Raw genomic sequence first — 12,522 nt, 5'->3', positions numbered from 1 at the left:
TCTAATTCTGTACAAAGCAGAAGATCCAAAGTTGGCTGACAGGTGACAAAATTCTGTTACCATGTATGTTCTGATGGTGAAAATATTTTAAGCAATGGTAAATTTAAGTATCTTTTAACCAAGCATCAGGTTGCCTCCAATTACCCACTTTCTTTTTAATGTTTGTATTACTCCATTAGGGCTACCATAATAAAGTGGCACAGACTGGGTGGCCAAAACAGCAGAAATTTATGTTCTAGTTCTGGAGGCCAGAAGTCCAAGTTCAAGGTGTAAGCAGGGTTGAGTTCCTCTGAGCCTCCTCTCTTTGGCTTGCAGATGACTGTCCTCTTGCTGCCTCTTCACATGGTCCTTCCTCTGTGCACTCATGCCCCGATGTCTCCTTATGTATCCAAGTTTCTTCTTATAGAGACACCAGCCAGTTTGGATTAGGGTCTAGACTAAGGGCCTCATTTTAACTTAGTCACCTTCTTAAAGACCCTAATCCCCAAATAGAGTCATATTCCCAGATGGTAGAGATTAGAGCTTCAAGGTATAAATTTTGAGAAAATGGAGTTCAGCTTATAACAGAGTCTCACAACTCTGGTTTGATAATTCATTTACCCTATGGGCATTTGACTTCTTTTCAAACCTTTTTATATTGTAAAAGTTCTTTCTTTCCGAATGTTCTACTTTTTAATCTCCTTTTAAAGCAACTAAACTTGGTCATGAAAAAAAGAAAGAAAAGGAAAAGAGTATACGTGTGAAATATGCCACAGGCACTTGCATTTGAATAAGTGATACATCAGTGTCTATGTCACAAACACTAAACTTGATTAGGGTCTTCAATTATTATAAGATGTATTAAGATAATATTTTATATTATAACTATAAAACAGACTTCAGTACTTTGGACATTAAAGACTCCAACAAAAATTAATTTTTGATATTAGGCAAGATGGGGTAGAAAGGAGGTAGATGTGAATGAAATCAAGCATTCCTCTAAAATATGGGCTCAGTTTTTCTGTCTTTCCCTAAGGCTACATCTCACATGCAATTAAAGATGCAGTTCATCTCTCTTTTATGTGTAATGATTTCTGTTATGGTAAAGGCATGTATGTTAGAATTAAATATGCCAAATAATTTTGTCCACAATAAATTCCTTTACATTGTAACTCTCCTTACTTCATGTAAACCAATGACTTGGTTGCATTAAGGCATGAACACTAAATATTCAGCACCTTGCATAAAATTGGAAACCACAGAATATCATTTTTGAAATCAGGGTGAGGATTGTGAGTACTTCATAATTTTCCTGGTTCGGTAGGAAACATATTTATGTAGATTTCCCAGAATATTTTTAATTGTCTGCATTTATTGCAATATGAGGTGAAGAAAGGTTATGCTAGGTACATATAATGGACCACAATCAAATCATGCAAATGAATGGCACACATCCTGATGAATCAGAGTGATAGTATAATATAAAAGAAAACATAAGCCTAAAAATAGATATCATAAGCTTCTATGGTCCACACAGAATTTCAAAGTGAATTTTTTGAACTCCTTTAAATAAAAGAAAATCACAGCAGTCAGCTTTTGCTAATAGCATGGTCTATAGTGCCTAGTGTATAATCATTTTGAACATGTTTGAAGGTTTCAAGTAATTTGAAAGAAAAATGTTTATAGAGTCTTGAACAATATTTCTAGGACTTCAAAACAAATAGTCAATCTGGAGGGGAAAGAGCAGTCAAATTGGGCACTTAACTGAAATGAGCATTTAAGTAAAATAATTTGGGAGCCTTGTACAGAGAGTCTTCATTTAGTTTAATCATATAATTCAAGCCACTTTAAAAGTTGTTTTTCAGTTATCATAGGTTTAATGGTGATATAGTTCAATTATTATGAATATGCCTACATACCAAAATAACTGGCTATATATAATGGTAACTTTGTTGTGTTAGTTGAGTCAGTATTATTTCAAATCTCTAAAAAATATAAAAGCATTGATGTGGAAAGTTCAGTTCATTTTATTATGGCATATTCTAAATACTGAAGGTAAAAATGCCTCCCAAAATGGACAGAACTGCCTATTCATCACTTAAAAAGATGAGTGTTAAAAAATTCCAAGTCACAAATTCAACATTAGAAGGCTAATATTATAATTATAACATGGTTTATATTTTAGTTTTATTAGATAAGCCTCTTTGGAGAAGAGATTTCTAACCTCCTTTAGTGAATAGTGAAGTATTAAACACAATTATGGATGATCGGATTACAGCTGTAATAGCACAATGTTAAAAGAAAAAAAAAGACTAAACATTATTGCCAGATAAGTGTGGAAAAGCTTAAATAGAGGAAGGGATAAAGTGAGTGACAGGAACAATCTCACGGATTACTGCTTTGGCACGAAGATTCCAGTATTCAGCTAGCTTGCCAGATAAATTGACCAGAGAAAAAGAAAGTCAACAGATTAACTTCAGGAATTAAGCTTATTAATGGGTTTTCAGGCAGAAATGTATCCACCCATCATGATAGGAAAAGGTTTCCTTTGCTTTCCCAGCTGCTAGATTATGCACCAAAATATTTCTACACAAACTATCGATGGGATAGAAGCATTTTTTTTCTTCTTTTTACAGGAATTCTCACTGACCTGAGTCAATGTTATATGCTACCCATTCATTTTGGACTGATTTATAGTTGAGCCAGAACAAGTTGTTTGATTTAATCATGAACTGAATATATTTGAATAGAGATTGTTCACGTTCACAAGTCTTCTCTTCTTTTCTCTTCGCTTACTTAGAGTAAAATTTAACTGCTCCATCCAGAATTTAAGAACATGCAAGGAGGTAATTGGAATTGGAGGTAAATCATATTCTTTTGTAGAAAGTATAATTATCGGAAGTTAGTTAAAAACACCTCAATTCTGTTTAATTTTCATGCATGGAGCAGTTGTTTTGACAGATGGATGGACTTTATTTTTGTAACCGTCCAGGAAAAGTCTGCGTAACACAGTCTAATCAGTGCTTCATATCTGCAATGTTTGTTTTTGAATCACTGTGCTTTTGGCTCCTGTATCTTTTTCTAGGGGTAGACATTTTCTTCTAAATTTATTTCTCCAGGTAATATCTTTATACATAATTCCTCTATCCATTTGATCTGAAAAGACAAGAGGCCCTTAAAAAAATAAGGGTAAGTGGTTTGTCACTAAGGGTGATGAATCATTACTCCTCAGGTGTGGCCTTGGATTTTACTGGTTTATAACTGCCCTTACTTTTATTTCTAGCTAACAATCTATAACACTGTTGCTCTGGGGAACATTTCAGTAAAATAAGAGGTCAATATGGTTGCCTGACTCTTGGGAAGCCAACTGCCAACTTGTTGCTAAACTTGTCTGTGTTCATCAACTTAAATTCCAAAAAGGATCAAGGTTTGAAAAATGAATTCATTTTGAACTGATTCCACTCTCTTTATTACATTGTAAATCCTCCAGTGCTGAGCAAAGCAGTGCAGTAGTTTAAGGCCAAAAAGTACATTACATTCTGAGTTTTAAGAATCGTCATGGTTCAAGAAAAGGTCAGAAACACTCTTCTTCTGTCTCCCTAGAGCAGAAATGTGTGAAGTGTGTTTCCTTTTTCTGCCACACTTCCTTCTTTTTTAGAGGAATGTCCAAGCTGCTTCCAAATAAAATGAATATCCTGTTTTGGAACACTCGAAAACCTTGGCAGCAACAAGCTAGAGAATGAAGGCAAATGAATGACAGGATTGATACTCTTTTATGTAGGTTTTCTGTTAAGAACAAATCCTTACTAACAATGTCTCTGTCAAATTTTTGCTTCTTCTCTGTCCAGTTCTTTTAATGCACTTTCCTCCTCCATTGTTTTCGATGAGTCTCCTCTCAACTATTTTTAACCAAATTTGAAAGTATTTCCTTCCATTCCTTTGTTTCATTTCAAGCATCTTTATATCCTCTAAGCCCAAGAAATTTCTCTCCCTTCTATTTGCATCAACCTTCACTTCCAAAATAATATTGAGCTTGCCCCCAGGGCATGGTAACAGTACAACCTGCTGCCAACTGGGAGAGTTCAGTGGGGAAATGAAGGGAATCATTCCAGGCCTTAGGCCAATAGGGTGAGTCTAGTTGCTTTGTAACACAGACAGATTCCCGTTATCAGCACTCTAGGTAGAACCCTTTGCCAGGTTTCACAGCTTTGGTCCTGTGATTGATTTTGTTCCAACAGCTCTGTAGGGGAATTGTTGTCATATTATAGTGGTTCCTCTTTAGTAGTTAATAGAGAACAAATTAAAATTATGATATTCAGTGGAGCCCAATTTCATAGTTAGCAAGAACCTTGAGAGTTTTTCAGTCATTAATTACAATCTGCTAGTTTCCTTGGAAGGACAGATGTAGTCACTATAAATTGCTAGTCAGTTATTCAATCTATAAGAGATAAAGAGCCCACAAATTCTGGGACATTATGATTCATAACAGTTGCAGAGGTGACATGAACCTTTGTTTTGTTCACAAGTCTTCTTACTGGTAAAATATGTTTTTCCTTTTTTATTAGGGAGAAGTAAGTTCACTGTCATATTTCTAAGGAGGCACTTAGGTGATACTGACAGGACTGAAAAATTGGGGTTTGTGGAAAAAATTGCATGCATATCTTTAAAGGCATGGCATGCAGACTGAAATCTTGTTCTTTTCTAGAATGAAAAAGACATCCATCTGGGTCTGCCACTATTATTTATTAGAATATCTGTTTGCTTACCAATATGTACACAGCCAATTTCTTGGTTTCAGCATATGGTGCTGGAACTGGTTATTTCTAATCTTGAATACTATAATATTGAGCCCACAATCAGAGATGATAATCTTTATATAAAAGCAGAGTATGTGGCCACCTATGTGTTTCAAAGTAAACATTTTCCTGAAAATGGCTTCTTTGCAAATGACTGAATTTTTTTTAAGAATACAGATAAATCCTTTGGGAAAGGCCCATGAATGCCTGGTTTGTAAATGAGTTTATCAGATGTTTCCCTTTCTACAACCTCTTTCCTCTGCCCAAGCCTTCATGCCCTATTCTCTTGGGGAAGGAGGAGAGACTCTTACAGAATGGAGAGCTTGTTGCTAAGAGTAGTGGAAGTTAAGTTATATCTGTTTCATAGTTTTACCCCTAAGAGGTACCCTATTTAAGTGAAACATGGATGAGATCCACATACCTTTTAAGCTAGGAAATTTTTCCTCATAACAACTTGCAAGATCAATTTATTTCAGAGAGTAATTTTATACATTGTAATGCCTTACCAGACAAAAGAAAGACTTAGGATCTGTGTAGCAAAACAGTGGAAGAAATTATGTTTATTTTAGTTACCCCCAAAGTACTCAGCATATGTTAGGAAAGCATGAGAGAGGAGTCATAACTAGAAACTTTCGCATTTTATTTTAAATAGGCCACATTCATTTTTAGGGCAATGTATTTTAGGGTCATCATCAGGTTTCATCCTAGAAAAATAAGTGATAATAGACAGCAATTATTTGAATTTAAATATCAATTAATCTGCTTAAATTTGGTTGCCTGATCCTTCTTTTATGGGGGCAATGGAATTAAGATAAAAATAATCAGCTGCAAGTATAGAATACAGATGTCATTTGGAAATGTACTCAAATAATTTTACCACCTCAGTTGTAAGCTCCAACTGACTACATAAAGCACTCTGAGCTTTCACTTGAAAAGTGGCAAGTCATAGAGAATGACTTTGGGAGTGTGACACACTTAGAAGTGCCAGGAACAACCCAGTCCTGTCATGTGTGCCCACCTTGCTTGTACTGTTGTCCACGCTTGATCCTTAACTGCATCTATAGTTACATATTTGGTTCTTAATTCCAAATGTTTATAGAAAAAAGAAAGTAGATAAGAAAGTCTATAGCCTTTAACAAAATAATTTGAATGCAGTTTTTATTATTTACCATGTGAATACTCATTTGGATATTTCCAAAATGGGTTACTAATGATGTTTAAACTTTATGTTTATTAGAGGGTCATATTATATTTTTGTTTTCTTTTCCTAAAATGGAACTGAAAACTGATTTTTGCAAGTAAATTTTCCCCATCATTTTGTTTGATTAATTCATTAGTTAATCAAGTAATTTGGTGCTCTCCTCATTTCTGGAAAAATCACCTGTGATTATTGATTGTCTAAATTTCTTTTCCACTTTTGTATAAATAAATTAAAAATAGTTTTAATGGAAGACTGACGGAAGGGCATAAAATAATTGTTCTCACCAGAGTAAGAAACTCTATATTTTAATGCATATTATAATATAAGCAAAACAATAGAATAATAAATAAGTCCTTAAAATGTTGTGAAAGGGATGCCAAAAAAAAAAAAAGAAAGAAAACAAAAGACAAATCTGTTCCAGCATGCCTAGCACCCTAGAGGATACCTCAGTCATGCTGATTGCTGAAACTCTTTGGTTTTCCTTTTGTCTTACAGAAAGAATGTGCTAATTTCATCAAGGTACTTAAGGCATATAATCAGACTCACTTGTACGCCTGTGGAACGGGGGCTTTTCATCCAATTTGCACCTACATTGAAATTGGACATCATCCTGAGGTAACGCTGGCTTTTTAAAAATTATATTTGTCCATGACCCCTTTCTATTCAAAATGCTTCATTACTAATTTCTTCAGTTTATTTTGCTTGTGGTTCACTATTCAGTGGGACCTACTTCAAACTCAGATGCTGTTATTAATTTTAATCTGTGAATGCAAAAAGAATGAGAACATTACTCAACAAAAACTAGGGAGCAGGAGGAAGGAAGGAAGAAAGCATTTGTTTTCACCCTGGATTACAGAGTCCAATCCATTTTGCATGTGCAGCAGATGTCAGCAGGCTGAATGTGTGGTGTTTTCTCCTTCATTTGTATATTGCCAGCCTTCTCCTCCTTTTCCATCCTCAGCCAGAAGTGTCTGCCACCCAGTTGTTTTCTTCTGCCTAGGGATTAAGATAGGATGCCATACATTTGCACAATGATCTGATCTCAAGTTTGACTCACATTATTCACATTTGTATTCTTGCTTGGCTAAGCTTTGATTGTATATTTTTCGTTATTAATTTGGTGGTATGGAAAAGAAAAAAATATGTTTTTTTAAAAAATCTGTCTATTCCTTGTAAAGATGTTTTAGTGAGGAAATTATGTACATTTAAGCAAAAATCAAGATAAAGAAAAGGTTGCTAATGTTGAAAGCAGTTTGGTGAATTTGGCTTATCAATAGCCTTCAATTATAAACCCTCTTGTAATTTTTGGCACAAAATCCTAAGAGGAACAAAAGTGTTCACGTGGTGAGAAAATCATTGGTGACAGAATTTTCTTCAAAACTGGAATTCAGAAATACTCAACAAATAAAGGACTTATTCTTGAAATATTTCTGATAGCCTAAAGATAAGATAAAATTGACCTGGTAGTTACTTCTTTATAACTTAAACTTTAGACTCTCTCCCTAAATTTCATGAAGTGTCCCAAAGTGATACAAATATGTCTTTTGACCCAAATGAATTAGAAATCAAAACAGTTTGTGTTATATCTTCTTTGTGTAAGAAAGCACCTTAGAGATTATGTGGTTTCTAGACTAAACACACTTATTTTTTCTTCTTGATGAACCAGGGAAGACACATTCCCAAGATCTCACCAGTTGCCAGTGGCTCCTCATCATCCTATTTCCCCAACCACATCCTTCCTTCTTCTCTTTTTTATAAGTCCATATGTATAGTATTTATGCTGACAGACTGAAGAATTTTAAGTAAAAAGTAACTTTAGGACAGGCAATTCTAGTGAAGTTGCTTGTTTTACATTGATTAAATTAGGGATAAATTTATGCACATGGTCCTGGAGACCTTGTACACATAATTTGTTTTAGCACCTGATTTAGTCACTCTCTCTTTGCTGTCTTCTCAACCAATTCCTATTGTAATACATCAGTTGTCCTAAAACTTGGGCCCAAGGTGATTGTCTCACTTTTCTATATTCTGAAGATAGCTCTAGAGAACTCCCTCCGCATGATATTGCACTTTTTACATGAGTCATGATATTGCACTTTTTACATGCGTCAGGAATTATGCTCTACATGATTGGCAATGGAATCAGAAATGCTGACCTTTTTTTTTTTTTTTTTCTTGTGAGTATGGAGTCTCACTCTGTTGCCCAGGCTGGAGTGCAGTGGCACAATCTGGGCTCACTGCAACCTCTGCCTCCCAGGTACAAGCAGTTCTCCTGTCTCAGCCTCCCAAGTAGCTGGGATTACAGGTGCAAGCCGACATGTCCGGCTAATTTTTTGTATTTTAGTAGAGACAGGGTTTCACCATGTCGCTTAGGCTGGTCTCGAACTCCTAGCTCAGGCAATCCACCCACCTCAGCCTCCCAAAGTGCTCGGATTACAGGCGTGAGCCACTGCTCCCAGCAGGAATGCTGAACCTTTAGCACAAATTAGCAGAAAGGACTGGACTTTGGTGTCACATCTAGCTTCAGATCTTGCTCTACAACTTACTAGCTGTGGAGCACTGGAAATATTATTTAACGTCTCTCAGACTCTGTCTCATAACATGCAACACAAACTAAAAACAATCTTTTGAGTCTTAGTGTCTGTATATTTTAAATGCAAGGTTGACTTATTACCTCTAACTGCCTTCCACTGCTCCTAGCACAGTATGACCCATTGCCTTTTTTCTTTTTTTTTTTCCCTGTAGAAACTCAAGGAGTTTTAATCCCATCATTGTTGAAAGCATATCCTCTAGCCTCAGACTGCAGGACTTGCATTCAACCTCAGCTTGGTACTAGCTGCTTAATCTGGTGCAAATTATTTACCTCCTCTGTATCTAAGTTTCTAAGCTAGAAATTTGTAAGGAAAATGGTCTGTACCTCATACAGTTGTGAAAGTTAAACATTGTCTAATGGATAATGGTGGCTGAAAAAAGTCAATTAATATTAGAAACTATAAATATTTTAAAATGCAAGTCTATACCTTGCATTTTGTATTTTTATATTTTGTATTTAATACAAAATATAAATCTGCATCACAGCCTAAAAGCTGTGTTGCTGTTTTGCTTGCTAGCAATTGTCACTTTGCCCTCTTAAATGTTTCTCACTTCATCAGATATTGTAAATTATGGCACTGGGTTCTCATGGCTGCCGGGTGATTCTGCACCTCTCCTAACTTCCCCCTTTTAAATGTGAGGCTTACATGATGTTGATGGTCATTTAAATTAAAATGCCATATGCTATTCTTGCATTTTTATCATTTTCCTGAAATGTTGATTTTTGAAGTTGAGATTTTAATAGAGTTAACAGTCTAGTTCCTCTTCCACTCATCAACTACTCATTGCTGCTGTATGGGTGGGCAGCTGGGGAAATGAAGAGGTACAGGTTCTGGAGCCAGGCCATTTACCAGGATTTCCTCTACCCAAATAGCTAATATATAAAGCTTCCCGCCCGAGCATTCTGAGGTGGGAGATTGAAATGCAAGTATTTTCCTGAGACTCTGAAACTCACAGCCTTTGAGAGAGGTCCTCCTTCAGAAGCTCAGTGATTTTGATTTGCATGATAACTATAGATTGTGAAATACTGTTCCAGACTATTTAGGGGATCAGAAGTAAGATGATTATGCAATTACCTGGGGAATTTGAAGCAGTCTAGACAGTCAATCTATGAAATTCTGGAAAAGATATTATCAATATAGGTTGTCTAGACTACATCAAATTTAATTTTCAATGTTTAAGCTGCCTTAAGAGAGAATCTGCTTTAAATTCATCTATATTTTACTTAAAACACTACCTTTGGATTTAAACTGTTATGCTGTTGGTGAAGTTGAAAAAAAGAGACAGTGTATACTTCTACTATTGGGAGAAGACAGTAATAGATCGGGAGAGTGAGAAATAAAATAGCAATCGAAACAGAGGCCAGGATTATTGGCTTAGAGTTCATAAACTGTCATAGAGTTTGAATATATGAACTTTTGTTCTCAAGGACAACTTTTCAGATAAAGGACTTATTTTTCTCCTAAATTCTAGTTTAGACATTGTGTGTGTACTTTGCTATTACCTGCCCCATGCAATGTGAAATAATGAAAGACGAATCTCCTTTTAAAATTTTGTCTAGACATATAACAAATAATTTTATCATAGAAAAAAAGACATCATTTGTTGTTTTTATTAAGACTTTCATGGACATTTAAACATGCAGTTTTTTCTTTGCAGTGTTCTTCCTTTAAAACAACTAATCATCTTACATTCTGTTTTCAAGAATGTTGAAACTCCATTGTCAGGAAATGACATTATAGACTTATCATCATATATGGCAGAATGTCCCAGAAGTAAAACCCATCACTTTGAAGGAAAACAGGGCTTACTTTCTTATTTAATAGCTTTGGATCTTATAGGAAGAAATTAATGGTTCCTTTAAAGTAATAATACAACCGTTTGCAAAATAACCTTCAGTTTCGTCTTCTAGTTATGAAAATAGACCTCTTTTACTCTTCAGGCATTTTAATAGCAATACAGTCATGCGTTGTTTAACAGCAGAGATAGAATCTGAGAAATATGTCCTTAGGCTATTTTACTGTTGTGCAAAAATCATAGAGTGTACTTACACCAATCTAGATGGGATAGCCTACTATATACCTAGGCTACATGGTGGAGCCTATTGCTCCTAAGGCTATAAACCTGTACAGCATGTTACTGTACTGAATATTGTAGGCAATGTGTAGCATAATAATAAGTATTTGTTCATCTAAACATATGTAAAGAGAGACAAGGCTTTCCAATGGCTATGAGGTCACTATGCAATAAGAATTTTTTAGATCCATTATAATCCTAGGGGCCTACCATCCTACATGCCGTTCATCATTAACCAAAATGTTATGTGTCACCTGACTGTATTTACACTCCTGAATAGCGTATTCCAAAATCTACTTTAGCTGTATCGTGAATGCCTCCTGACCACACACAGTATGTCATTGATTGCTGTCTTAAACAGATTTTCTCTTTCCTGTGGTACATTTGGGAATTGGTAGACCTATTAATTAACTCCAGTTCTGTAAGATATGTGTCAATCAATTCTTGGGTATCTTCCAATAACACTTGACACTGCAGAAAACTGCCAGTGAGGTCACATACATCATACACATGTGTGTGTTTATCATAAAATGCTTGCAGAGTTCATGGAAAAATTGATTTAGAGTTAGAGTACACATGAGTTTGGAGTTTAAGCTCTCAGCATCCATGCCATTGAAATGAAAAGTGTGAGTCATCCTTGAGAGGCAAAATATTCCCAAATGGCTTACAGGATATGGTATTTCCCCTTCAAATTTACATCTGTTAATAAAACAAAGTATGAATTTAGGAGAAGTACAGATTTTCGAAGATGTCTCAGGATGTTTTCTCAAATTCCAAATGGGTCTTTTCTACTTACTGGCAGGAAATCTAAAATAAAAAAAAAGGCAGGCCCAGATGAGAGCTGAATTGTATTAACTCTATAAATACTCTCATAATATCATGATTGAGATTTATGATAGAACCAAAGGGACATTAAGAAATGCAATGAGGCTTAATGGCTATCTCTAAGGTCATTTCCACAATGACAACCAATATATCTATATATGAAATAAAATGTTTTGTCTGGTTCTTCCCTTCCACTAGAAATAGGAGTGTGCTCTGATGCAAAACTTTGAATCAATCCTCTTAGTAACAGTGCCCCAGGCCAAAATGTTATTTAAGTACTAGGTAATGCTCTGTCAACTAATTTATACTTCTAATCTAACCCATTCTAGTTGAGTTACTTCTTTCAATTTATTATACTATTTAGTCCAATGAAGAGCAAGTTTATTTCTACGAATTGGTACGGAACTGAGAAATTCAGATATCTTGGGAAAACAATAAGGAGTTGCTTTTGGGTAGGTGGATTGTCTTTCTGAGATCTTACATTGGAGTCTGTATTTATTTTGTAGCATGCTAGCCTCAGTGAGAAAAGTCGAGATTCATTGGCAACTCAGCTGTTCATTGTCTCCATCAGATGCAGCATATCCCTCATTTGCACTATGGACCTGAGCCAAATGTGATTAAAGTCCATAGTGGTTTCTAGGTTTTTCTTTCCTAATCTTTCAATACTTGAATCATGTTGGAAGATAGACTTGTACAAGTTACTATGCTTAATAAAGTACCATCATTTATATTCAAACTTAAATTTTAAAATGATCTGCTCTTTGTACTTGAGGAGAAGCTTTGCAGTTAATAAATTCTGAGATAACAACTCACTAGTGTATTTTTGCTTGGACTGTTAAAGTTCTAAATTCTAAATATTATCAGTAAGACTATTTCTCAAAATTAATAGAGGTAGTGCTTAAGTGAGGGAGTAAAGTGACCTAAGTCATACTTTGAAACAATAAAAAAATTTCAAAATGCTAAAAAAATAGATACCAAAATCCAAATGAACATCCTTCACACCCTTAATTAAAACATTTCAATTGAGCATTTTATATTTTGACTTGATTTCCC

The 12,522-nt window shown here is 35.1% G+C and overlaps 1 protein-coding gene across 3 annotated transcripts in view; it reads left to right on the top strand.

Moving 5' to 3' along the window:
* The window catches only part of SEMA3A (semaphorin 3A), a 536,949-nt gene that overhangs the window by 375,665 nt on the left and 148,762 nt on the right, over positions 1-12,522 (top strand). For all 3 annotated transcript variants that reach the window (XM_005250110.4, XM_047419751.1, NM_006080.3), the window contains one exon: positions 6,472-6,591. In XM_005250110.4, the coding sequence (XP_005250167.1) occupies positions 6,472-6,591 (120 nt within the window). The remainder of the gene's footprint in view (positions 1-6,471; positions 6,592-12,522) is intronic.

Source organism: Homo sapiens, chromosome 7 (assembly GCF_000001405.40).
Source record: "Homo sapiens chromosome 7, GRCh38.p14 Primary Assembly".
Classification (NCBI taxonomy): domain Eukaryota; kingdom Metazoa; phylum Chordata; class Mammalia; order Primates; family Hominidae; genus Homo; species Homo sapiens.
The sequence above is the reverse complement of the archived record's forward strand: the minus strand, read 5'-3'. Positions and strand labels throughout refer to the sequence as shown.